Below are 27,805 nucleotides of genomic sequence, written 5' to 3'. Positions count from 1 at the left end.
CAGCGGGCGCGACCCCGCTCCTCGCCCCGCTCTTCTGCCCGCACTGAGTAACTCCGGGCGCCGCTCTCCTGTTTGGGTGCGTGCGCCCGCCTCGGGTACCGGGCGCCCCCCGGACGCCCCGCCGCGCTCTGCCCTCTTCCCTCTCGCACCCATTTGGGGAGCCGCTCGCGGAGCGCGCTGAGCCGCGCCAGGTCCCTACCTCCTCAGCTCTCCGGCTGCAGAGGGAATGGGAAGCAACCCCGGCCTGGCTCTTTCTGTGGGTGGCGGGCGGGGTCACCTGAGTTCCCCGGGACATCTTCCGCGTCCTCCGAGCGGCCGACCGCCGGGGGACTGCCTGGTGTCCGCCGAGCCAGGGAGCGCGAACGAGTGAGCGAGCCGGTCCCCTCGGCCACCTTAGTACTAACACGATTGATTCCTCATTTCTTGGGCCCAAACTGGGCACAGCGGTGGAACCCGGAGCGCACAGGGTCTGGGTATTGTCAGATGACTGTCAAGTCCATGTTAGATGCTGGCGTTTCCTTCTCCCCTGTTTGTGTTTCCTCGCCCCCACCCCCTCCTTGTACTGCTGCTCCCACCCTCATCTCCGCATAGCACTTAGTTCTGGGACGTGTCTGAGTACTTTTTTGTTCCTCCTTTTTTTTTTTTTTTCTTCTTCTTTAACCGGGAGTGTCAACTCCTGTTAAGACTGAGCCGATTTTTTTCTTTTCTTTTCTGGAAAACGCATCATTGAAAACAAAACAAAAACCACACACATAACATTATTTTGCAATAATGTCGGTTGGGGGCATGTTGCCTGGAAGAAGGGTTTCTGGCCCGTTGCCATCCTTGATTTGATGACTGATTGATCGCCCGTCATGCTGCTGCCTTTGATCTATTCATTCCCAATAAACATCAATAAATCACTTGCAATAGTGAGGCCAAGCTCTGTGACGTCAGGAGGGCCCTGTCAGTGCAACTTTGGGATTTGGGGCGGATTGCCGAGAGGACCACATATGGACGTGATGTATTTTGATATGAGTAACACTCAGATGTGCAGAGGTTCAGATGCTCCCTGAAGGGGAGGGTTAAGTGGGGCTTCCTTTCTTTTCTTTTCTCTTCCTTTCTTTTACTTCTCTTTTGATGTTAAGAGGGAAGGGCAGAGAGTAGGGTCAGGGCATTGGCTGGTGCCCATCTTGGAGGAAGGCGTTGTAGCCATGGTGCCCTGAGTGCCCATAATTTCCATCATGCCAGCCGGCACTGCCAGGGGACCTCACACGTTGGCTGCACTCTGCACTCCAGACCCCTTACACGGGGTCACAGAGAAGGAATGATAATTCTCTCTTCTCCCAGAAATGTACTTGCCTGCCAGTGTCTTCAGAAAATCTCAGAAGAAAACAGGGTTGGTTTGGGGCTTAGGATGCAGGTTTTGCTCTCTGTCCTCGGTGTTGCCCAAATTTAGAAAGTTTGAAAATTCCAGGAGTGATTGTAGGGAGCTTGCCGCCTCCCTAGTTAACCTCCTGGAGCTTGCTTCTTGCCCGTCCCACCTTCTACTTTAAATTCCAGGCTCAAGCAATGAGCTTATCTACCCAAAATAAACTCTGAAACTTTGGAGGAATCCTTCACAAAGTTGAGTAGTAGGAATGTCTTGGGCTTCTTCCAGTCTTTGAAATTTTTTTTTTCTTTCCTTTTTGGATACACATTTTAAGGTATGTGTGTGCCTCCATCCAATGAACCATATGTGATTACATCTTTACATTTGGTTCAGAACTCTCTCTCTAGTTCATCTCTTCGGTTGCACCCTGCCAATCTGAGACTCGTATTTGATAGCTTCCTCCAGAAAAATATCAGAGGAGGAGGGAACCTGCTGTTGGCTTTATTTATTTATTTATTTATTTATTTTTAGAGCAACCTGTTCACTAACCTTTTCACACTTTTTTTTTTTTTTTAAAGAAAGCCAGCCAGGAAATCTCAGGTCAGTTAAGAAAAATTCATTATATAAAAAACTTGACTGCAGGACTAATAGGAGATGGAAGAATGGTTTTGCTCTATCAAAATGACCCGTCAAAACGACTTTGTTTCATATTTGATTTAATTGTCTCTCTCCTGACAGGCACATTCATCAATAGCTTAATGGTCAATCAGAAGCTGGCAGCATGAGTGCTTTATTTCTTTCCCATACTCGGGTTTTGGATTTACTTTATCAGAATGCCTCTGCCTAATGGACATGTGGAGGAGGGGGTGGAGGCGGACTGAAGAGCTACTTATTTAAGAAGAGTGGAGAGAAAAAAAAAAAACTCCACATTTAGGCTGGTGATAAGTATGCACAGAGGTTTTTTTTTTGGGGGTGGTTTGTTTGTTTGGATGGACCAGAAACTTCCCATTTTTTTCTCCTCTTTTTTAGTTTTCCCAGCTGCAAGTTATAAGGTTCATGCCAGCTTTTGTGGCATACTGGGAGTGATGACAAATTGATTGCTTTGTACTGATAGAGAGAGAGAGTGGGGAAAAGAAAGATGTCTGCTGATTGGTAACTGGAAATCCAGTCCCCAGCAACCTTGAGAATACTCGAGAATTTTTTTCCCCTCCAAACTGAAAGGTCCGCTCAGCCATAAAAAAAGAAAAGTTGTTTTGCCAGCTTCATTAGTGTTCACCTAATTAGCTGTAAACCTGATGGATTCCTGACAGCTTTAATGATTGGAGATGACAAGCTCGACGCAGTGTCATCCAGCAGAATTAGGTTTGCAGCTAGTTTGATGTAATCAAGTTGATATTACACAGTCCTGGCTGCCTTTAGTTGTGCATTAACTCAATTTTCTGCTGCAGGTGACAAATGGGCTTTGGTACCTGGATAATCATGTCATAGGAATTAGGGCCCTTTTAATGGTCTAGGGTAGAATAACAACCACAAAAGGCCAAGAGCTGGGTAGGGCGAGCAGACGTGGCACACAGGTACACACGGTCTTCATATCTAGGCCAATGTATCATTGCTTTCCCGAAGGCCGAAGCAGGCTCCAAGAATCCCTGAAAATACATATTTCTGTACTTTAGGATTTTTTGATGTTTTGATAGAAACTATGTATGGCTTAGGGTCTTTTCTCAAAGAGAAAGAGAGGTTTCTTTACCTGCCAAAGAGAAACCTGGGCGGGAGTTTGCTTCCTTGAGACCTGTAATTTCCAGGGGGTGTGCATTTGTGCTGGACAGATGTTGCTGCTTTTAGAAGCTCAGAGGAGTGGGGTTAGGGAAGGACAGTGTCCTTCAGGCAAAATGACCATTATCCCCTGCTTAAAGCATGATTTTCTCCTGTTCAGAGTGGTTTTTAAAAAACATTTCTGAAAATGCCAGAAAAATTTTAGTGTAATACTTAATAGCAGATATTTTACTTATATTAATTTTCTGGAGGCAAATGTGAAATCATAAAAGACCATTTCTTATGCTTCCAAAAGAAAAAAAAACCAAACAAAAAACAAAAAGAAACCATCGAACCACAATTTGCCAGCAAGCTATATTCTTTGAAAGGGGGTAATGTTCCGTGGAGTTCTTAGGTGGTAAAAACAAGGCAAGGGTAAATCTTCAAGCATCTTGACTTTTGTGAAAGTGACTTGGACCCCCTAGGGTCTGCTGGTGCCACAGAACACTGTGGATCCCCCTGGAACAGCCAGAGGGGGTTCCATGTTGCCAGTAGACATGGGCATGCCTAAGAGGTGGCCCACCTGGTGGTGTCCAGATGACACCTTCCTAAGTCTGGTCCACACATCGGGCAGCTCCAGGAAGGAGCTTTTCCGTTCTCTCTTGGAAGCACATGGAGCATTCAGAAGGGCATTTCGGCCTTAGCTTTGGGAATTTTTTTCGTCTCATACCTGCCACGTATTTCTCCTTGGACAGGTATTCTACTCTGTAGCAAGGTGGCAGAGCGACTGGTTTTGACCGTTCTATGATTTTTTTCTTCCCCCATTTCCTACGAAATGAGAGCAACAATGCAAATTCTAAAAAGGAAAGCCAAGAAGACGAAGGAGAAAAACAAAGGAGGTGGGAGGCAAGGCTATTCCCTTGGATGTCCACGTGGGGAAGAGAACCTTCCAGAATCAGCTGCGGTGCCCCCATTATCTTGACAGCTGTCAGTTAGGGCTTCAGTGCTCTCCAGGGCCACACTTGATTGTGAGCTGTTGATGTTGTCATTTTGTTCTCAGTTTTGCCTTGAGCGCGCTCATAAACAGGAGCCAGATAGTCAATAACTGATGCCTCAGCAGCGATTCCCTAAATTGCCTCACACGTCTGCCTTTTCCCCTCTTTTTGCTAAAGATTGTTTTGTCAAGTGATTAGAATGAAAGGCGACTGCTCAGGGCTGTGGGAAATACCGTGAAACCCAGGTGAGTTGAGAGAATTAAAACCATTCCTTTACCGCCGCCCTCCACTCCTGGGATTTCTGGAAAGAGAAAGGACCTACCTTCTTGAAGGCAGAGTGCCTGGACCTCTTGTGGTGCTTTCTCTTTTACACGTGTCCTGCCAGAGTCAGGCTGGGGCCAGGGCTGCGGCAGGCAGGCAGGCAGGCCCGCGGGGAGGCAGAGAGGAAAGGATTAGGAAGTGCCCGGTCCTGGTGCACACAGCCATGTTTAATCCAAGAGTGGCAGCAGTTCACAGTTATCCCAAGTGCAGTTTGTAAGGCTTTCCTCCTGCCCCATTTTCATCCCTGCCTGTCACTGGGCAGAGGGTAAAAATAGCTTTGGTCATGTCGTAAAACAATTAATAAAAATGAAATAAAGTAGGGTGTGTGTGTCTACCCTTCTGTGTTAGTGTCCAGCCCAGGTAGGTAGTTGGATCTTTCAAATCAGCTGCTTTATCACACCCCTGTAGCATCACCCTCAAAGCCCATGGAGGGGAAAAGGACAGAAGGGAACAGTGGTATCCAGTATCCCAAACCCTTGCAGGTGTTCACTCTGTGTGTGCGTGTGTGTGTCTGTGTCTGTGTTTTAGTTATGCTCTAAATTGTGGTTTCTCTGTCTGAAGTTACAAATGAAAGGTGAATACAATATATTGTATTTAGTAACAATGATATGGACTGGTACATCCAGACAGATAATGTGCAGTTGTAATTAGACTCAATAGACAGGCAGTCATTTTTAAATTCTTTGACACATGCATAAAATAGTCATATAATAAGATAAGATGACAATTTTATGTTAGGTTGATAAAGTGTCCCGATACATGCATTTAAATGTCTGTAAGCCTTTTTAAAAAAATCCAGACAGATTAATTCCAGTTTCCAGTATTTGCAATTAGTCACTAAATTTTTAAATCCCACTAAACAATGGCTATCAATATTTTTCCCCTGTTTCTGGATTTTCTTTAAAAAAAAAACAAAAAAAAAACCTGAATTGTAAGGACTGGAGACATAGACTTGGTAGCTTTTCTTAATTTTTCACCATTTGTAGAAATTTACGCTTAGAAATGGACTTAAAAATTCAGGTCACTGTTTGTGACCAGAATAACGCTATGCATTTTTGGAAGTAAAAAAAAAAAGACAGTAATAGAACATAATCTTCTTATGACCACTTGCCTGAACAACTGTCATACTCTAGGTTTAGGAATCTTTATTAGAAAGATTACAGAGTGTCCTTGACCAAATATTGAATATTTTATAAGCCCCATTTAAAAAAGAAGACATTTCTAGCACATGCACTTAGTTTGATCAGCATTTAGATTCTTGGGTTTAATTACTTTCAATTCTGTAAATTATTTTAGCATTTCAACAAGAATAGTCCAAGAGATACAGTCCGGGGGGTGGGGGCGAGTAGTTCACTGAAGGTCACGTTACCTGGACATTTTAACCATCTCCTTACCTTATTTTCTCAGATATGCAAAGGTGTGGCTCTTGAAGAATAATTTAAATTTGTTTGGGCTTAATGATAAATTATTAATTCATACTGTCAGGACACATGTTATTAATTATGACTGTGTTTTCTTCATCCAGAACAGCTGTTGGGGAAACAGGGTAAGTTCAGATTGTTGTCGGGAGGGAGGGCACAAGGAACTTACCAACTCCTTGTCATCGCATTCCTGGTCACCTCGCTAAGAGAATAAAGGATTGTAAAGGGTAGAGTGTAGGGGAGAGAGACACTGTTAGTTCTAGATCAAGATGGGCACTGGCAGATGCTAACTTACGTACATTTTTAAAAACGCAAGCCTAACTCTCAATGCACTGTGAATCCAGGTGAGATCCGAAGGCAAACCATCCCTGTTTTAATGTTAGCCAGGTTTTGGATTGGCTGCCCTCTCCCTTCCACCAGTTTCTCTGTGTTTCTTCTTTTTCCTCTGTGGTAGGCCAGAAGGTCATGTTTACAAGTTTATAGCAATGGAAAACACAATATTCAGAAAATATATTTGTTTCCCAAAGTGGAACCCATCCTTAATGGAGAGCAAAGGGCTGTTTGGTAATATACGTGAAATGACTCCAATTCATTTACTTTTGATTTTCCATTCCCATCATTAAATCTAGTCCTATGTATTCAGTTTCCTCTGAGTTCTTTGAGAAATGCATGTTGCATAAAATAGGCAATTTTTAATGAACAATTTAATGTAAATGGGTTTTGAATTTAAATTAATATTAATGAAGCCTTGAGTGAATTTATTTTGCATACGTAAAGACTTGTAAGTCTTTCACCCATGTGCTTTCTCCTTTATGTATTAACATTGGTTGGGTGGATTAACCAGCACCTTTTAAAGATTTACACTTAAAAAATTAAATTGATTTTATATGTCCACTATCACCAACGTACTATTAAGCAAAAAGCATGAGTTCAATTTTAAGAGAATACAGCTTTTTCCCTGTTAAACCCCTCAGTTTCCATTGCTCAGAAAGCTGCCGTTGGTGTGGCATTGCTGCTAGAGAAAATACACCCCAACAATAGTTACCACAATCAAGATGTTTTCTTTCTTTGGCTTACCTCTAATGCATTATGTATCCTGGAATGATACGAAGTTCTGTAATTAATTCTGTTAGATGTAATTGCTATAATCACTTTGATGTTACACATAATAAAGGTAATATGGTAAGTACATAAAAAATGTAAACACCTTATTGTAATACTCCTGCTAAAATGCCTTCTCATCAAGTCTGGTTTATAGACAAGTGTTCCTATTTTTGGTCATAGGTGACAGTTTATTCGAGCTGTGTTCATTGATATTCTAAAGGAGAGGCATTTATTGGAAAAGATGGGCCTTGGTTTGGAGGGATCTCCAAGCTGGTTGCCTAGGAATCTTAATGCCCGTTTTCTTAAAGATGTGGCTAATTATGAAAAGGTGACCATTGTCTTCTGAGTAGACCAGAGAGGTAAACACTTCAGAAGTAGCCGTGGAACCAGGGAAGAATGTGGCCTAGGAGTGAGTGAGGAGCCAGGAGAATGCTAGCAGAGGATTCGGATCAAAGGAGCTGTTCTGTAGGTTTTCTTATGGTGTGGGACTGTGGGAAGTGCTGTGTGTGTGTGTGTGTGTGTGTGTGTGTGTGTGTGTGTGTCAGAGAGAGAGAGAGAGAGAGTGAGTGCATGCTAGCAGGTGAACAGAGAAGGCCACCTTTCTATAACAGTGCAATAAGGGAAATAACATGCAGGATATCTACTTTATTATTTTCCTACACCTTTCATGGGGGTGGGGGCTACAGATGGTGCCTCACTGTTGCATGACATGTCCGGGAGTGGCTGATGTTGCCTGTTGGACTGAAACCTGTGTGGTATTTGAGACACACTCCCACCCCATCAGGCCTCTGTGCACCTACCCTGGATCCAGACCACCACAGGACATCAGGGAAGTTTGCCTGAGACCCCAAGTGCGCAATACTTGTGGGATGCTTCTGAAACACATGTACATTATGTACATTACTCTTTGCCAATGCATCTTGCAAGAGGCTAGAATGTGGTGGGGTAGGAAACTTGCCATTTAATTTTACCTTCCTGGAGATCCTAGAGTCAAACTAGTGTGTGGATCTGCTGGACACCCGTAATGAGCTGCACCTTGTCCCAAGTGTTACAGAGGTCTGGAGGCCTCGGGACTCAGGGTCAGCTTGGCAGTTTCCACGTGCCTTCCCCCATCTATATTGTATTTTTCAGTAAGGGATTGCACACAGAAATCAAATAACAGAAGGTGCCTGTGTGAGAAGGGGATGCTGCAGTCTCTTTGGAGGAAGAAAAAGGTGTGTTACAGTGGTTGAGAGATGGAAGGTGAACGCAGTGGTTCCCTGGCCTGTGTCCAGAGCCTGTGAAGGCAGGTCTTGCTGCCAGCTTTAGCTGGCTGGGTGCAGACTGGCTGGGGAAAGCGGGGCCTGCCTCCTGGGTCTTGGCCCTGCAGCCTCCTGCCTGCCAGGTAAGCAGGGGCTGGAGGAGAGGGTCCTGGGGTCTGGGCCCTGGGCCTGGGCTGCAAACCTGCAGCCCCCAGTCCTCCCGGTAGTGACTCCTAGACTGGTTTTGATGGTGATGATGATAAAAGGTCTGAGAACTCCATAGGCCCCAGTAATCAGGGCCCGCACTGACATCCTTCTCAAGTTTGACAGCTTCTTCCTTTTCTCTCCTCACCGCCAAGGCTTTCTCAACTGAATTTCCCCGCCCTCCCTCTCCCCTCCTCCCTGCCCGCCGCCCACCCCTTCCCTCCCTTTCCCCTTTTCTGTGTGCGTCTCTCTTGTTTCATGTTCTTGATCAGTTTCAGATGCTGGGAATTATTTTTTTTCAGGCGGGAGGGGGAGTGTTGCTTTAGGTTTGTGGGTTGGGCAGGTGTGAGAGGAAGTCTGTGGTTTTTTTTTTTTTTTTTTTTTTTTTTGTACTGTAGGCCTGTTGCTAATTAATGTTCCTCCATAAGATTCTGTCGGAGTTGAGTAATGTTTTTGATCTTTATGCCTGATAACTGCATACTTAATGAGATTTCAAAGCTGTGAGTGCAGCTCCCTACAATTATTGACAGATGCCTTTTCTTTGCCATTGGGTTCAGCTTCATAAATCCTCTCGCCATAATGAGGTTCAGCAGTGCCACCCTGGCAGTGAGCTAATGAAAGGGGGAGGGCGAGGCGGCTCATGGCTGTCTGACACATTTTTTTCCTTTAAAATTTACTATGCAGATGTCAAGCTGCGGGACGATTACTTCAAACATGCTAATTTTTATCTTGCTTTTGTGTCAGCCCTTTGCCATTAAAAAATAAATAAATAAAAGGGCTAACCTGACTCCACTTGATTTCTTTTCTTTCTTTTTTTTTTTTTAAAGTCAATTTTTTTAAATAACCCACGGTGTTGCGACAGCTAGGGACTTCGACACGTGCGTGGCCTTTTGCAGGTATCAGCAGCAGAACGCCCCCCCCTTTTTTTTTTCCTTTTTGCCATGGGAAGGGCAGTGGGAGGATGGAGTACGATTTCCCAGGCCTCCCATCACCCTGCCCTAAGTATGCACTTGAAACGTCGGAGAATTCATTTCAGAGTTCTGAAACTAAATCCTGGTGGAGAAGAGCTGCACCATGCCAAACAGTCGATTTCCTTTTCAGCAGAGTCATACATCACTGACCCACCCTTCCCTCCTGACAGAATGACATATGTCATTTATCATATGGGCCCCAGCCAGACTACGGGGAGGGGAGGGAAGCCCAGGTCCATGTGAGGCTGTCTCTTCCTCCTCTTGGTACTGTACCCTGTGGCTTGCAGGAGGGAGCTCTGCTGATTTGGCAAGAGGGAAAGGGAGGAAAGAGGCTGGGCAGGGGAGAAGGGGGTAGAGCCTGCTTCTGGATGGCTGGGTGCGTGGCGTGGCGGGTGGGAGATTGGCAGAGGCACGGGAGAGGTTATGCTCATTCATATTATCTGCTAAACCACACTGTTCAGCCTTTGACACTCTTCTGACTTTTTTTCCCCCCTTTCTCATTCCTTTTCTCTTTTCCCTGCCTTTTTTTTTCCCCATTAGTCAAGGGGAGAGAAAAAAAAAAGAAAAAAGAAAAAGGTTGACAGGTATCATTCAAGCCACCCTGGCTTGCAAAGGGTGGTAGAAATGAATCTCAGGGCTCCTGACTTCACATGATTCAAACGTGCGTTATTGAAGATGGATGTTCCTTAAAAAAAGATTGATGGTGGATGCCGGGCTTCGGGTACCATTTATCATTTTGAATATTATTTAGACTTGCCGTGTAAACCTGTAACTTGAGAGTCGGACAAGCTGGGGCAGGGTAGGGGCCTGTGTGTGTGTTTCTATCGATTGGCCTTGCCTTCTCATTGCAGCTGACCAGACACAAACCCTCGCATGTGCAATACAGAAGACTCCCCCACTGGAAAAAAAAGAAAAAAGAAAGAAAGAAAGAAAGAAAAAAAAGATGGAGGGAGGAAGGCTTTAATTTTGAATAATTTCCAAGGACACAGAGAAAAATGAAGTATCTGTGATTTACACTAAAGCTCACAGGCAACTTTCTCTCTCCCTCTTTTTCTTCCCCCACAGAAGCAGTCACGTACAAAACATTAAAATATAAACAGAGCTGCAGTTGCTGAAGCCAGAACCCTTGTCTGATTTTTTTTAAACTCCGTGTCATGCTAAAAAAAAAAAAAAAAGAAAAAAAAAAGAAAAACCAACACCGTATCTGAAAAGCTTAGCACAATATAACTATTAAAAAAATCTTTTGGTTGGCTTGGTTAGTAGTGTGAGAATGAAGAAACGTAAAGACTTCCACGTCTCAGGAATATTTCAGATAAAAAATAATCTTTTGCGGCTCCCTGCCCGGGCTCCCAGCAGCCTCTTCCCCTTTGTGTCTGAGCTCTGTCCCCTCTGCAGGGCCCCAGCAGACCCCCACCAGGCCTGATGTGGACAGCTGTTCCCAAGCCCTGCCAGTTAATCGCTTCTGGGTTTGCACCCTTGAGCTGTGTGCACCAGGACACCCCCACCTACTGGAAGTACTCAGGGACGCAGCCTGGTTCACTGACACAGCCCCCAGCTGCCTGAGGAGTCGGTGAAGCTCTGGCCTTTCCACCTCTTCTGCTGCAAGAGGCCTTGCAGCCTGCTTCCCTGGTGGAAAAAGGAAAGCAGAAACTCTAGGCCTTCCTGCTGGATCTACACTACTGGGAGAGCCCCGATAGTGCAAATTTAATTGGCAGGGATTCTATTAAATATGTGACTTTATTTGGGGTTGCTAATGAAATCAAAGGCTTGTTGTATGACTTACAGTGTGGACATTAATTTTTAAGAATGATGGGATAGAAAGTTAGAACGGAAGAGTTTTTCTACCTAAAGAAATGAGAATCTAGAATTTGTGAAAGGGCTGAATGTTCCTATCTTGCTGCTTCTGGGACAAACTTTTCCCTGACATGTAAAACGCCTGCAACTGCCATGAACAGGAAAGAAATGGAAATGGTACTGATTCACTCATCAACTCCAGGCAACTTTGTGTGTGTGTGTGTGTGTGTGTGTGTGTGTGTTTATTTTGAAATAACTTTATTCGCAGCCTAACACTTTGCACTGCATTCAGCATGACTTAGAATTTACTTTTGGTGTTGTCCAGCTGCTGCCAAAAATTGGGTAGAATCAGATTGGTATTCTTTGTTGGTGCCTGGAATTGTAGCCAGTGGTACAAAGGTGATGTTGTTCCTTGCTGAGACTTCGTGGAAGAAGGCAAAACTTTGATCATCTGCCCTTGCACTTGGGCAGTGTTGAAGGTGATTGGAGTACAAGTGCCAATTTGCAGGAACAATTGTAAACACCTTTGATACAAATGCCATCATCCCATTTTTACTGATTAGAAAAACTTTGCTATTAATAGGTGCAAAGTCCATTTCAGGTATAATTGGTAAGGAACTGAGTGCACTCATGGGAAGAAACCTTGTTTTGTTTTTTGTTCGCTTTTCTTCTTATCCCCTTTTCTCAGTTTTATGGCTGGAGACATGATTTATTGCAGCCATCCATCTTGGGGGCTCATCCATCACACCCGGGTTGCTAGGAGATTGTGGCAGCAGCTGTTTGCTCTGAATCAGACAGAAAAGTTGTCAATCATCAAAGGCAGGTGAATAGCATTAGAAACACGCTATTGTCAGACGGAATAATTAATCAAAGAGAGAAAAGATAATTAAAAAGATATGACCCTTGCAAGTACTTGCTCTGGGTTGCCTGTAAAAAAAAAAAAAAAAAATAGAAAAAAAGAAAAAGAAAGGAAGAAAGAAAGAAAAACTGCCTGGTCTTTTCTAGACACTTAAGCAGCTGAGGGCTGATAAAATATGCACTCTGCAGTGCATAGTTTTTAATTAATTGAAAAAGGTTCAACATTCAAAGACGATGCTGGAGAGAAGTCTGATTATGAACAGAAGTAATATTTATTGTTTGCTTGAAGGGCTTGACACAAAGTTCTAACTTTTTGTTAAAAATCTCTGGCTTTCCTGGCTGGTGAGGAGGCACAGGCTGGGGTCTTCAGGTATCCACTGGTGCCCCGCATCTGTTCCCTCCACTCCCCAGCCCACATTCTTGGCTCTTCCAGAGAGTCTCAGACCCCGAAGAACTGGAGTGAGACCCTGCTGACCAGGATCCGATGCCCTTCTACAGTTCTGGTGGGTCTGAAACTTCGTTCCTTAGATAACCGGATTTTTTAAAACATGAAGATGGGAAGCTTGAAAGACATTCCATGAGGTCCACCGTCAAGATGCTCAGAGTAAGCTATGCATCTCCTCTGGCCTCTTGCCTAACTGGAACATGCTCAAGGACCTAGAGAATCCATCCATCCTACTTCGAATCTGTCTCCGTGTGGTCCCACAAAGTGCACTACAGAGTCCCAGCCAGAGAGCGATAACCTGGCGTCACATTCTGAAAAGGCCCCCAGTCATGGTTTAAAGACCATTCTGGGTGCCCCTTTCAGCCTCAAAAAAAATTGTCATAGTTCAGGAAGTTCGTTCTTGCTTTTTCTGAAGCTAAAATATTCTGGAGGAATTGGAAAATGTATTAAAAACTAGATAGAAAGTGGCATATCTGGAGTTGCTTTTCAGTGAAATATGCTGCAAACCCTGAAACAGATCTACTCTTTTATTTTTGGATACTATGCTTGATTTTCACACCATTCTCTTCCCAAAGAATAGCAGGACTTCTAAAATTAGCAGGAGGAAAAAAGGCTTGAATATTAGAATTCATGAAAAGGAAGAAAGCAACACATTTTTGAGCTGGGACACCGTTTTCAGGGAACGCCAGATCAGTGCACTAGGGACTCCGTCCCTGACTCCCTCCCTGTCACAGCACCGGGGATTTTTTGCCAAGAGTCCCAGAGGAATCTCAGGTGGCTGCACCTCATGGTGTGACGTCCACCTTCTGTAATGAATGCACTTGGAGCCCACGGGGGTGACACAGCTCTGGCCTTTTGGGGATAGAGAAATATATGTAGAGAGAGACCCAGATAAGCAAAAGCACCTGCCAGGCCTGCTGGTACCCTCACAGAGGTCTCACCTGTTCAGGAGGCTGGGGCAAGTGTTCCTTATCAGAACTTGGCCTTTAGGGAAATGAGTGGCTTCGACTTCAGGTGACGATTTGGGTTCTTGAGCCGGAATCTCCTTGGTGGCCTTCTAAGCTCACAAGTCTGAGTGGGAGACAACCAGTCTCTTGAGTTTTCTGAACACACAGCAGTGGTCCTTAAGGTCAGTATTTTCCAGGGCAGTCAGTACCTGTTCTAGACCAACAACGGGGTGTGCTGCAGGAATGCCAGAGATTCCAGTAGATGCCTGACCAGGGCTTGAGAGCTTCAGGTGGATGGCAGTGTCCGGGCAGGGGAGGAGGCCCTCCTGTCTTCCGTGAGACCTGGCCATTTGGAAGTGGGCCGTGAGGGTAGCTCCTCTGTTCCTCAGAGAGAAATTCTTGTAGTTGCCATCTCTCCTTTCCAAATAATTGCTGAGAAAGCGCTTTGCTTAATGTCAGCCAACGCAGTTCCAAAATGTGGCGGTTCGTCGGGGAAGGGCAAAGGAAGAAAGATCCCGTGAATCATTTATGGTAGATTTGTGAATTCACATATAAAAAATGTCAACCTTTAATGCTAGTAAAATTAGAGTGAGATTTGCTCCCTCTTAAAAATGGGAAAACAAGCAATGGGTGAAGAAGAGGGAAAGTCTTTAAGTTTTGAGAAGTTCACGCAGGTCATTTTTCCTGGAGCCCTGGTCAGGATCTTGTGTTTCTTGCTCCCCCAGGTAACCCCTGGCAGCTTTTTGAGTGACTCACTGAACACATGACAGAGAGAGGGCAGGAAGAAGGGATGATGATTGCTTATTCTTTAGAGGAGATTTGGCTTCTGTGGGTGTGCATTTTGGCCAGGATTTCAGCATCTCCGTCCCCAGGTTATGGATTCTCTGACATGGGAGCCAGGCATAAACATAGGTCTCTTATGTCTCAAGGGGGCATGGCAGGATAGAGCCACCACATTCAAAGCCATATGTTATGGTGAGAAAACCTAAGACTCCACTGACCCCCGCATCAACTTGATATTTGAGTGTTCTATCTAAGTGATGTGTATTTGCCTCCTGGAGTTCCATGAGACAAGGTTACCTGGAAGTCATTTTGGTTTTTCCTAACTCAGCTGCCATAGACTCAAAGCAGGCTCAGCCCCCACCCTGCTGGCTTTGCCTGAAGCCTTAGGATGAGAGGGAAAGGCAGCAGAAATTAACCAGTGTGACTCCCTGTAGGTAGAGACATTCCAAAACACTTAAAAGACCTCAGTGCATTGCATAAGACGCAATTGTTATTACTCATCTGCCTAACAAAAAGCTTTTGAAAGGGGGCAGAGATTCATATTTGCCAGAGGAGAAGATGGGTTATCAGTGGTTTTCATGTGGTGAAATGTTCCCATTCCATTTCTTGCCTTTGTTTCTGCTCTGAGGTTGTAGTAAAATGGCTCTTTCACATATATTAGTTAGCAAATACTATGGGTGTGTAATAGATGAGGCTGCGGTGGTGTTATTTTCTCTTGCTTTTCTGTATAAAATCATAAGGCAGAGTGGACCCTCCCCTACGTGACAGTGACGGAGGTTCCTACCGAGATGGTTAGGTGAATAACTAATAGAACAAACACGTAGTCAGCTGGGCAAAGGAAAATAAATAAAATAACAGCATGTTCTTGGTTCTTAGAGCCGTGCAACATGAGCCCTGTTCAAATTGGGTCTTGGAGCTCCATACTTTCTGATGTAGTGTGGGTGGGGAGGGAGCAAGGTATTATTTGGAAACACACGTACACGCTCCTTGTGAAAGAAGTGGAGTATTTAACATTTCTGCAAGGAAAACATCTTTCATTACTTGACGTGTTCTGTGGTAATGATTTTTCAGTTCAACAAACAAGTACTTATTAGCGTGCGTGCGGGAACCTGGCTGAGGTGAATGGCAGGACCATTTTTAACGGGAACGCGCTGGCCAAGTTTCATGGGGGCCTGGCTGGTCCAGGTGGTCCCAGGATGATGGCTCACTTGGCCTGGAGAGGCAGCTCTGGGACAAGCATCCCACTGTAAAGTCCCCCGGGCCCCATCACTGGGGCCCAAGAGCTCAGGTTGGAGTGACATCAGCATGTTTGTTTTTTTTGTTGCAAGCAGAACCTTCCATGGGGCTTCTTTGGTGGTTTATAAAGTGGATCTGCCTGGAGAGATAACACACTCTGCATGCCACGGGGTTGGCTGAGGATTTGCTGGTTCAAGGGACTGTTTGGGTTCAAGATGATATGCGGGTGAAAAGGGCCGATCCAGGTCCCCTTGCTGAGATGGGTCTGGTTTTTGTAAATTGACTTGTTACAGGAGGGAGAGTGTAGGCACAAGAGCTGAGTGGGAGCGTTTCTGCAGGGGGAATGGAGCTGATTTTCACCCAGAGAGGGGCTCGCATGTCCTTGGTCATAACCTCCTGAGTTGGAGTAGTGTTAGGGAGGGCAGCTGCATTGCTCTTCGCCCTCCCTTGGTGGGAGTGGGAGGGAACAAATGCCCTGTTCATGTAGATCTCTCTGAGGCCCCAACTCCCAGACACTTTGAGTGTGGCCTTCACCCCTGGATTTATTTATTTATTTATTTATTTATTTATTTATTTATTTATTTATTGTGAGACAGGATCTCCCTTGTCACCCAGGCTGGAGTGCAGTGGCATGATCATGGCTCACTGCAGCCTCGACCTCCTTGGGCTCAGACAGTCCTCCCACCTCAGCCTCCTGAGTAGCTGGGACCACAGGCACACACCATCATGCCTGAGTAATTTTTCTATTTTTTGTAGGATGGGGTTTTGCCATGTTGCCTAGGCTGGTCTCGAACTCCTGGGCTCAAGCAGTCTACCCTCCTCGGTCTCCAAAAGTGCTGGGATTACAGGTGTGAGCCATGTGCCTGGCCTACCCCTGTTTTGTTTTGTTTTGTTTTTGTTTTTTGCCTTTATTCCTATGAGATAGTAAGTGCACTAGCCACTGTAATTGCAGGCCTGACCCAATATGGCTTTTTCTCTGCTTTGCATTGCATTCATATCACGGTGTTCATAAAATTAGAAATAGCGAGTTGTGCAGCTTTTTTGAAGAACCCCAGTAATCACAGTCCCCTAAACTGGAGTCCCCACCAAACTGAGACTAAGTAGGGATGGGTGATGGCCCTGTGCAAACTTCATGGCACATCTCCGTTCCCCAATACAGCTGATAATTTTAGTGGATTTGTGCCCCAATCACATCTGATGAGGGGTCGTCGGTCATCGTGGCTCCAAAAAATGTGATCTCAGTTTCTATCCCATGACATTATATTCAGTAAGTGAAAATGGCCTTGAGCTTTCAGAGCCCCACCAGCTCCGTGGTTCCCTTCTGCCATGGCAGTGTGGGGAATGCAGCAGTTAACACTGTTTATACATTCCAGGGGTATTAAGCAGTTAGGTTACTGGAATCGTGGCAGAGCGAGTGGGAGCCGCATTCTGGGTTGTGTCTCTGTAATCAATTACTAAACATATCATGAAATTCCAGATGTAATAATAAAGTTTATGATGATTATATTGTCAGGAGGCCGGGAACACACCACCTCATTGACAGCTGAAGGAAGCAAGAGAATCAGCCTAGGTTTTGCCTGTAATAGGAAAAAGGGTCTTCTTTTGCTCCCATCAGTGATTCTGCATACTTTTTGTGAATGGAAACATGCATTTTTTGGAGACTCAGTTAGAGGGGGAAAAGGGAGAGGTTGAGAAGGGAACACCCTTGGTTTTATGGGGGACATCTTCTTCACGTACCTCCTCTCCCTTCCTCCTCCTTGCCCCTGCCCAGAAGAAAGTGCCCGGGGGAGGTGACATCTTCTGCAGTCAGGGAGGCAGGCTTGGCTGGGGCCCAGCCGCTCTGCCCTTAGAAGCAGCCACCCCTCCTTACGAAGGTGCAGCGTGCTCTGGTGTGGAAACATAAAATGGACGTTCTGTGAAAATCAATTGACTGTCCCGGCTGGACCAGACAGCTCTGACACCACAGTAGGTGGCAGGTGGTGAACATAAGGTACCCAGAAACCTTGGCCGCAGTGACACAGTGAATGCAGCCGCTGGCCTCCTTCCTTGCAACACTATTTGTAGTTTCTTCTCTCTGTGCGTCCATGGCATTTCCAGAAAATGCATCTTGAGTTGACTTCCCTTCGTTATGACACAGCACTGCAAGCAGGGTCGAGCTGCAGTTGGGAAGTTTCAGGGCACATTTCGGCCACATCTGCTGGTACCAGTAGGACCGTGATTGTTTTGGTGGTTGTATGAGTGCAGATTAATTAAACAACAGTAACAAAACAGAACAAAACAAAAAAACAGCAATTCGCAGCAGATCTGAAATATCAGTGACAAAGACAAAAAAAATGATAAATAAGCTATTCCAGGCTATGAAAGAAAATTAATGCCCCTTTAACTCATCACTGCGCCAAAAGTAGATAATAAAGTGCTTACTATGAGAGCGGTTTTACAGACATGTTTCCTGAGGCTCTGGTACAGGTGAGCTCAGGAAGGCCTGGTGTCGCTCTGTCCACATTCCCCGCGTGCCCTCTGAATCTCTGATGCTTTGGTTCAGCCCGGGGGTCTCTCTTAGGCCAGGGTTACATGCGCCGTTTCCCTCCTTCAGTCCTTAGAGGGAAGGAGGGGGTATCCCTTTCGGTGAGTCATAACTCTGCCGTTGGGTTGGGCAGCTCTCATGTAGAAGGGAGATTTTAGGAAGCCCGTCTTTGCTAGAATTTGCCTGGCAGGCCCTGCGTTTCCCATTGTCCTTCTGCCACCATGGTGACTGGGGACATGCCCGTGCCTGTGGGGGACAAGCATGCATGTCAGTTTTTGGGCATGTCAATGCTGATTCCTGTGCCCTGGGGTACGGCCCACCTTCTCTCGGTAGAGCTGTGACCCTGCCAACAGGAAGTGCTGGGAAAACAAGCTCCTGACACCTCCGTCTGGGGTCTGGGGTCGCCTTCTCAGCGTGGGCTGCTTCATGACCCATAGGTGTTCTGGACTTTCCTCCCCCCGCCCAAGGATTAAACAGCACTTGGCTCCTTGTTAAAAGCACATTGATGTTTTGAGCCCAGAGGGAGGTGTGGATCACACAGCAGGTCAACAGCCTCCATTTTGCACCCCGCCATTCCCTGTGGCTGGTTAAGGTGGGAGTGGGTAGGGAGGAGAAAACAGAACTAGAGAGTGACATTGGGGCGATGCTGACCGAGGGTGTGACCCAGGCCAGGCCAGGCTGCTGTGGCCACTGACCTGCTCCTCCCTGCACTTCACATGGGAGCTCGGGCATTGGGAGCCGTCAGGCCAGTCCTCAAGGTACGGCCAAGCAGCCCGGAGGCCACCTCCCGAGGCCTGTGCTAGCAGCTCCTGGTCCATGCCTGCCGGTCAGCTCACTGCTCCACCCCTGCTAGGCGTTAGATGTTTCCAGAAGGCCTGAGGGCCAGGCAGGTGAGGGGCTTCAAGTTCACTCAGGGCAGCTGTTGAGAGTTTAGCGAGTTTTATTTTTGCCCCCAAATTTAAAAGTATCACGGAAGGCAGAGCTATTACAGAGAGAAACCAACCTTTTGGTTATCACACAGCAGCTTTTATGAATTAAAAAAAAAAAAAGGATCTTGACCCTCTTTGAAAGGAAATAAAGTAGGAACCCAGTGTTAAGGAAAACAAAAAAGCTGATATTACAGTTTTTATGATTACTCATATCCTAGGCTGGAGCTTGAGGAAACCAGTTATAATGGAATTTCATTTTTTTCTCTTCCTAGTTGTGTGTCTGCGCTCTTTTTTCCATTAGAATGAGGAGTGGTTCATACTTGGTGTGGAAAAAAAACACACAACAATTTTGGCATGTGATCCTTGCTCTTAGTTGACCCAACGCTGATGGGACTGAAGATAGAATTATGCGGCCTTGTAATTAATTATCGAGCTATAAGGGGAACTGTGGAGTGAAGAGAGAAAGGGATGGAGTTACACAGGGCGGTGTTCCTGCCTCTCTCTCCACAAACACCCCCACTCCCAAGTGCTGTACCCAGGTTTAGCTTTGACACCATAAATAATGCATCTTCCGATATTCAGAAGTGAAAAATCTAAAGCCATCTAGTGGTTCATTTTTATTGGTAGCCACTGTATTAGCACCATTTAAAAACACTATTTTATTGCTGTGAGTCTGCAAGTTGCCAGTAGCAGTTCACCAATTTCACCGGTGTGAGGTGAGGGGTAAGATGATGACCAAAAGCAGAGATGCCTCCACTCTGCCTAAATTAAATGTTTGTGCAAGTAAACTTGAGCGTGCCCATTGCCAGGGCTGACCTTATACCACTAAGTTCTTGCAGTGGCCTGGATGATTGTAATGGAGGTAACGTGATATAAATGTAAACTTTAGCCCTGCTTACACAGAATGCACAAGGCAGCGTGACACCTTCATTTCAGTAGTAAGAAATTACCATTGTCTCTTATTTCTTGCTCGGAGCTTGGGTGACCAAGCCAAGAAGTAATTACACAATTAGGGTTGACAAAGCAGTTCCTGTAACATTTCTTTCTCTTAAGTTTGGGTAGCTTATTTCAACTTCACATTTTCCATATCTTTGTCATTAATAACAAATATCCGTTTTCAGTGCAATACATGTGCCGCATGAAGATTGGGAGCCTAGTGTAATTTAATGATGAAATGTGAGCATTTCATTTTCTGTAAATGTGGCTCTTTGAAGTTTAAGGTAGACATCCAGGAGCTCACACGGCCCCTGTACAGGAAGTTGACTACCAACTCTTCCGCAAGTGAGATTGGTGAACAGTGATTGGGAGCCACTCCCGCTTAGGTGACAAAGATGTTTGAAAGGATATGCAGATATGTGACATGGCTTATCTGGAAGGCTGCCTCTTCAAAGTCATCTCCCATTACTATGGCTCCAGATAATTCTTTAATCTTAAATTGTGTTATCTGCAGTATGTATACGGTATTGTAATTAATTGTCACCAACTTAAAATATAATCTGTTTGGAGTTTATATACCATCTAGGCCTGACCCTTACCTAAAGAAGAAAACACCTCACAGTTTCTCTCTTCTTATTTGTTATTGGATATGAAAGGAGAGAGACACTCTCTACTAAAGAAAAATAGACCTGTTAAGATTTAACCCGCCATTCCTTGAATAAGATGTTCTCAGAACTTCTGTTTTGGTACCAGCTAATGCTGCAAACAAGCTTTGAAACATGGATGGCTCAGCTGGGAGGTGAATGGCCTGCAGGAAGGTTGGGCTCCATCAGCAGGGGCCAGTCCACTGAAGCAAGTCAGTCCTGCTGCCATTTGTCAGCCTGGGCTGGCCTTCCAGAGCCCATCCCTGGTGTGGGAGAGGTGCCAACGTGGCCCGCAGTCCCCGCTGTTTTATAGCTGATGCTATATGCACACACCCAAGGCTTTTCAAGGCTCACACTCAGAGAAGTGCCCACTGGTCTTCCCCTCAGGTGGACAGAGTGAGTGAGTTCCCTGCTCCATGAGCCTAGCACTTCGCTTTTCAGCAAAGGTGCCTTGGTTTTGGGTGGATCTTGTATAAATGAATTCTAGCTGGGGGCCTGGGCAAAAGTTATATTTCTTCTGACAGAGTTTGTAGCAACGTTTTTCTTAATTATTCTTGATGTTTTGCCCATTATACCATTAGCTTCTTCAGAGGACAGAGATAAATAGCTGGTATCTGCAAGAACAAAGTGTGAACTGAATGCATTTAATTATTGATATCTCAGTAACTAAAGGCTCTAGAATGATGTTGTCAAATGCCTTAGTGATCTGACAGCCGATGTATTGGTTTGCAGATGCAACTAGAGACAATGTCCATGTAAACTCTAGAGAAAGAGAACACTAAACAAATAAGAGAATATCGTAGTTCATTTTCTCATTTCTTTATTTTTTTTCCCAGTGCAATTCGTTTCATTTTGTGTATTGGATTTTGAGGTTTAGGGGCTGTGCAGGGTGTTTTATTTCAATATGTGGTAAGATACAAATTGCCTTCATACTATCATATTATTGCCTTTAAGTATACTGCCTGGCTCAGTTACATATACACTGTATATTTATATGCGTGTATACGTGTATTGTGTGTACATATATGTATTCTTACATATGTATGTATATGTATGGTACATATGTGTATCACCTAGTGGAAATCAGTGTTCTCACAGTCTTATTCTTATCAGAGGGATTTTTAAAACTAGCCTTATATGCATGTTTTCAAGAATAAAGCAGAATGCTAACAAAGTGCATTTTCCTTCCCTCTCATTAGATATCAGATCCCTTTCATATGTAGAAAAGTAAGGATTTCAGGTATTTATTCTGACATGTTGACATAACTCCACATATTCAGTTACCTCAATTTTTAAAATCTATTTTACTATCTCTCACATGTAGAATATGATTCCCAGGGTTTAAAACACACAAGGAAATTGATCGCTGTTCAAAAATGTGCAGCGGTAGCCCAGAGGCTCAAAGTCTAGAACCTCGAGCTACAGGTCTCAGGGAAGAAGGGAATTGGTCGAACACATCCAGTAATGCCGTGGAATATTCTTTTTTCCTTTGAAGGTTTGGCTTACAGTACTGTTCTCATGATCATGTTTAATTCTATGTTTTTTCTAAGGGCTTTTTACTCCTCTGCTGGTTTTTTTTTTAATGAAACAGAAAGCTGCTGCCTTTCAGTAGCCTGGCTGAGTGCTGTAAGGAAGGAGAGTCTACATTCTGGACTGCTCACTTCTCTCCAGGATGCCTTCTCTGGCGTTCCTCACATGGAGCTGGACTTCTCCCCTGTATTTGCATGCTTCTCTGGCCTGTGCACACTGGCACACTGGGGCACACATAGGGTTTCCATCAGAGCCGAAGGCTGCGTGAGACTTGGGGAGGATATTTATTTGAAGTTGCACAAATGTTTACAGTAAGGGAGACTGAGACATGGGCACTCGCAGTGCAGAGCTACCCTGAGCAGAGGAACTGCCTTTCCCTCCTGTCTTCCATGTGCTCCGTTCTCCCTAACAGCAACAAACATGCTGTCTTTTGCAGCTGCTTACTTGGAAATTAAATAATGAGCCTCCTGAAGATGGTTGCTTCACACTCCGAGGTTTCAGCCCCATGAGAAAGTGACTTACAGCGATAGATGAGGGGAGGTCAGCACCACCCTCACTGTGCAGGCTCCGAGCATCTGGGTGTGGGTGTGTACGCGTGCTCATGCACACACAGACACACGCAGGCACGTGTGCACATGCACACACACGCGCCAGGCTTCTAAGCATGCAGGGCTGCTCTACAGAAGCTACCTAGAGCCCTGAAAGATTTGACAGTAGCTTTCTCTCATGAAAGTGGATGCATTGTCATTCTTTAAATTAAACAAAATGATGTCCATAATGCAATATTCAAGAGAATCAAAGGGTATGCAGTTAAAAGAGAGTCTTCTTCTAACCCCAGCTCCTCAGTTCTTCTCCCTAGGGGCAAGCACCGATACCAGTTTGTAGTATAGTCTTCTAGATATTTATGTTGGTGCAAAAGTAATTGCAGTTTTGCCATTAAATTAAAAGTATATTTTAAATATTTTAAATGAGAAATCCACACTTTACACTCCATGTTGTACCTGTTTTTGTCTAAGAATATACTTTGGATATCTGCAGTTTACTTTGACATGCATCCAAAAGTTAAGATACATGGAATGATGGGTATATATGTGATAAAGCAAATAAAGCGGAATGTTAAAGTTTTAAACTAGGTGATGGGTGTACAGGCAAAATTCTTTAAACTTTGCTGTGTATATTACATTGTACATAATAAAATGGTGGCAAATCTATGTATCTCAGTCATCATCTTATATCATGTTAGGTTTCAGCTGCTATATCCTACCATATTTTGTTGCACAGAGCTGCCTTATACTTTTTAAGGGCCACGTTTGACTCTAGTGAATGAGTTACCCTCTGCATGGACATTCTGGTTGCTTCTAGTCTTTTCTTTGACAAACAGTACCATAGTGAACATCCTTCTGCACACGCCTTTGTATAGTAATGTCCTTCCACTTACATCCTTGTGGGATGCAGTCCTACAGGCGGAATTGCTAGCTGAAAAGGTATGTTCAGGTTAACAAAATGATAAATATCCAAACTGTTCTCCAAAAAGATCACACACATTTCGCTTCCCACAGCTGCGTGGGAGTGCGCGCGTGATGTCTCTGGCCGTCAGCGCTTAGGTAGGACAGCATCACAGTCAGCAACCCCTTCTCTCGCTCAGCAGGCACCCAGAAGCCTCCATGCATCAACAAAAATGGATACGGATATGAAAGCATATGAATCCCTGTATTCATCTCAGACATCTTTGCCTTTTTTATTTCAGTCTCTGGGTGACAGCAAATAGGTAAATTCATAGGATCACAGCCTTTTAAATTCATCTGCAGGGACAGCCTCATTGGATGGACGGGAAAACTGAGACCAGCCTAAGTTCACATGTCATTCCCTGGCCGGTCCCGACCAGTGAAAGCACTGAGGGTGTAAAGCCTGGCTCTGTGGCCGGACTGCGGAAGCCCTCTCCATAGGCATCCTCATTACCTGAGGTCGCTCAGAGAGCCCAACGGCCAAGACACAGAGGCACTGTGCCCGTATACTACCTATGTTTAGTTCCTACGGAGCACAGCGGAGGTGGCTGGCTACAGCGCGGAGCTTCTTAGATAATGACCGAGGAATACTGAAAATGTCCTTTTGGGTTTTAGCTGAATAATATTTAAGGATTTTGAAACAGTGACTTAATTTTGTTTTTATGTAATTGATGGCATTGTAGTAAAACGTATTGAGACACCACATCAGCATTTTTCTAACTGTTCCTTGGAGAAAAATATGCTCATATGAAAATGGTTTCTTCACTTTCCACTTACGGAATTGAAAAAATAAAAAAAAAATCACTGTGCTTCCATGGAATCACTATACCCAGAGATTCTCTAATTTTAAAGGGTTTTCCCCTCTGGACTTGGCCTACATAATGCAAGGATACTTTGCCTTTCTAAGTGGGGTTGTCCCTTGTTTTAGAAGCAATGGTAGTGGAGACAGAGGGACTGTTGTGTCAGAGAGTTGGTGCAGAATGCTGGTGGGGCAGATTTCAGGGAAGTTCCATATACCAGAGGCCATAGGCCTCCAAACCTAAAACCCAGTGGTAAGTCACTTCCCATTCAGGCTTCACGCCCCTTGCCCATTCTTTTGGGTTTGGAAGGTGCTTGAAGGAAAGCTGTCTCAATGCTGCAGTGTTGGAAACTTGTGTCTGAATTTGAAGCCTTCATCGTGTTATGTTGATATCAAAGAAATCAGGATATTTACATAAATTATATTAGTTTTCCTAACTTGACACAATTGTTTATATGCGGGAGGTGTAAGTCAACTGGCAGTATTCATCTTGTTCCAAACTTTGCTGCTTAAGATTTCATTCTGAATAGTCAAATTGTAAACGTTAAAAATGAAAATTCAGACTGGATTTATAATGATGGAAAACTCACAAGTCTACTACATTAAAATCATAATGATAATAATAACGCTTTCAAAACAACCTTGGTTGCCTCTCTAGTAGCTTGGTTTCCTGCTCTACTGATGGTAGGCTGGCCCAGTGTGCACAGCCTTGAGGGCTTGGCTGTGCAAGTTGATGTAGGGGCGGAGAGCCAGCATCAAATTGGGTGCTGCGGAGACGTTTTTTCCTCCTGCTTTTGGTTGTGAAGATGCCCCTCGTGGCTTCTGATCCCTGAGCCCTCGGTGATGCCTTGAATGAGGGTAGCCCCACATGCAAAGGGATGCCCTAGGCTGCCTATCCTGCAATGCACTGTGTGTGTGTGTGTGTGTGTGTGTGTGTGTGTGTGTGTGTGTGTGTGTGTGTGTTGGAGGCCAGGTTCAAGTACAAGAGCAGCAGCTGCTGTCTTTACCACCTGGGAGAAAACATCTTTCTGAGGTGTGTGGCAGTGTGGGAAGGTGATTGTGGATGGGGTGACTGTGTGGGAGACTGTGGTGGGTCTACCCTGATGTATCTGCACCTGAAGCCAACTTCTTCCTGGTCTAGATGTGGACATTTCTTAAAGTTTATCCTGGGTCTACAAATGTGAAATCATCTGGGTATTCGTAAACCAGCCGCATCACTGAGAGCAGAGGTAAATCCAGTGCTCCCACTTGGTAGAGTTCTTTGACAATGAAGCTGTGTAGAGGTGAACAACAAAACCCACAACAAAGATAAAGAAAAGAAAAGGAAAAATATGCATTGATAGAATTATGCTTTGTCTTTCTACTTAAATGGCAAAACTCATGTGTCTTCACATCTGGAATAAATGTGATGTTTTACAATTAAACCTATTTACGGGAGCTCACCATTGGATCATAGCATTTGCTTTCTGATTTTTAAAGGCCCCCAAACCATTGAATAGTAAAGAGTGCTGAATGCCATGCAGTGAAGTTCATGATCATAGGCTACTCTGTGGAACTCAGGGATCTACGGTGGCAGCATGCTCCTGGGTGAGTTGGGCAGCTCCTGGCTGGAAGAGGGAGGCCTGGCCTTTGGTGTCTGGCTGTATGGACTTCCACTCCTTTGAGGTTATCTCAGCATTTGATAGCAGAAGGCTGGTTTAAAACATTTTCATGTGAGAGAAATGCTCTTGACCCAATGTTGCGTGAAAAAAGCAGGTTGCCAAATACAATACCAACCCAACACATTCACACACATGCACACATTATAAAGGGAAAATAAAAGGAATAAGCACTCCAAAATGTAAGGGTTTTTATTTTTCTGCTTTCTTCTATATGCCTTTATTTTCCAAATTTTCATCAATAGACATATATTGCTAATCCTTGATGTTGATGTTATCTTGTATCAGAGAGCTTTGTGGCTGGGAAGAAGGTAACTAAATAATTAGTTTCATTTATTCAGTCATTCATTCGTTCTGTCACTCATTCATTCATTCATTCACTCATTCCTTTATTATGTCCATCACTAATTTATTCCTTCACTCATTCATCCATTCAAAAAGTAAGTACTGGCTGGGGATGGTGGCCCATGCCTGTAATCCTAGCACTTTGGGAGGCCGAGGCAGGAGGATCGCTTGAGGCTAGCAGTTCGAGACCAGCCTGGGCAACATAGTGAGACCTGGTCTCTACAAAACATTAAAAGTTAGCTGGGCATGGTAGCATGCATCTGTAGTTTCAGCTACTTGGGAGGCTGAGATGGGAGAATCCCTTGAGCCCAGGAGTTCATGCCTATAGTAAGCTATGATTGCACCACTGCATTGCAGCCTGGATGTCAGAGTGAGACCTAGTCTCTAAAAAAAAATACATACATAAGGCTAGGCACGGGGGCTCACGCCTGTAATCCCAGCACTTTGGGAGGCAAAGGCAGGAGTTTGAGACCAACCCAGCCAACATGGTGAAACCCTGTCTCTACTTAAAATACAAAAATTTGCCAGGTGTGTTGGCCGGGAACCTGTAATCCCAGATACTTGGGAGGCCGAGGCACGAAAATCGTTTGAACCCAGGAGATAGAGATTGCAATAGGCCAAGATTGTGCCACTGCACTCCAGCCTGGGTGACAGAGCAAGACTCCGTCTGAGAAAAACAAAAAAAAACAAACAAACATAAAACCATTATTCTTAGCAAACTAACACAAGAACAGAAAACCAAACACTGCGTGTTCTCACTCATAAGTGGGAGTTGAACAATGAGAACATATGGACACAGGGAGGGGAACATCACACACCGGGGCCTTTTTGGGGGTAGGGGGAATGGAGAAGGATAGCATTAGGAGCAATACCTAATGTAGGTGATGGGTTGATGGGTACAGAAAACCACCATGGTACGTGTATACCTATGTAACAAACATGCACGTTCTGCACATGTACCCCAGAACTTAAAGTATAAAAAAAAAGAAAAAGAAAAAACATCTTCAAGGAAATGCGTTTACTCATACATAATATATATAAAAATATATATTTAATAAATATGTAATCAACGACAATTAAGCACTACCTTCTTTCTCTCCTGGCCTCAACTCTGGCTCACTCCCTCTGTCTCACACACAGTCTGGATGGAAAGTACTGCTGTCCACGTCGGGCCTGCTGTTGTGGGGAAACGAGGATACATCATTAGTGTCAGGTGCTTTTGACCTTGCTGCCTGATTGTGGCCAGGCCCCTTGCGTTAACCTGGCGTGAGTCTGCCGTATGCAGACACCTTGGTGTGTTTCCATGAGGTTTCAGGCAGAGCTGTAGGCTCCATGTTTAGATTTCATAAGAGTAACCAGAAATGCACTTGCTAGGTGGGCAGTTAAAAACAACGGGGAACGGTCTCTGGAGTGCTTCAGTGGTGAGCCATGTGATGACGCCACCGGGCATGTCCTAGGGGCACTGTGAAGTTGGAAGGTAGAGCTCCGATTGGCGGGCCAGTGAGCAGCGTC

The 27,805-nt window shown here is 44.8% G+C and overlaps 1 protein-coding gene and 1 long non-coding RNA gene across 6 annotated transcripts in view, besides 1 other annotated feature; one reads left to right on the top strand and one right to left on the bottom strand.

Annotated features, from left to right (window-relative positions):
• TSHZ3-AS1 (TSHZ3 antisense RNA 1) overlaps positions 1-27,286 on the bottom strand; it is a 101,016-nt gene extending 73,730 nt beyond the window's left edge. The window contains exon 1 of the long non-coding RNA XR_002958388.2: positions 200-27,286. This is a non-coding gene — a long non-coding RNA (TSHZ3 antisense RNA 1). The remainder of the gene's footprint in view (positions 1-199) is intronic.
• TSHZ3 (teashirt zinc finger homeobox 3) overlaps positions 1-27,805 on the top strand; it is a 201,002-nt gene that overhangs the window by 1,761 nt on the left and 171,436 nt on the right. The gene's annotated exons all lie outside the window — the stretch shown is intronic.
• Positions 7,790-8,314: an enhancer, noted in NCBI's record as "H3K4me1 hESC enhancer chr19:31831709-31832233 (GRCh37/hg19 assembly coordinates)". NCBI's record gives its function as "activates a minimal SCP1, AML or CMV promoter by ChIP-STARR-seq in naive H9 embryonic stem cells {active_cell/tissue: H9 hESC(naive)}" and the evidence as "EXISTENCE:reporter gene assay evidence [ECO:0000049][PMID:30033119]".

The sequence above is a fragment of the Homo sapiens genome, chromosome 19 (genome assembly GCF_000001405.40).
Source record: "Homo sapiens chromosome 19, GRCh38.p14 Primary Assembly".
NCBI classification, from domain to species: Eukaryota; Metazoa; Chordata; class Mammalia; order Primates; family Hominidae; genus Homo; species Homo sapiens.
Note: the sequence above shows the minus strand (reverse complement) of the source record. Positions and strands in the feature narration are given on the sequence as shown.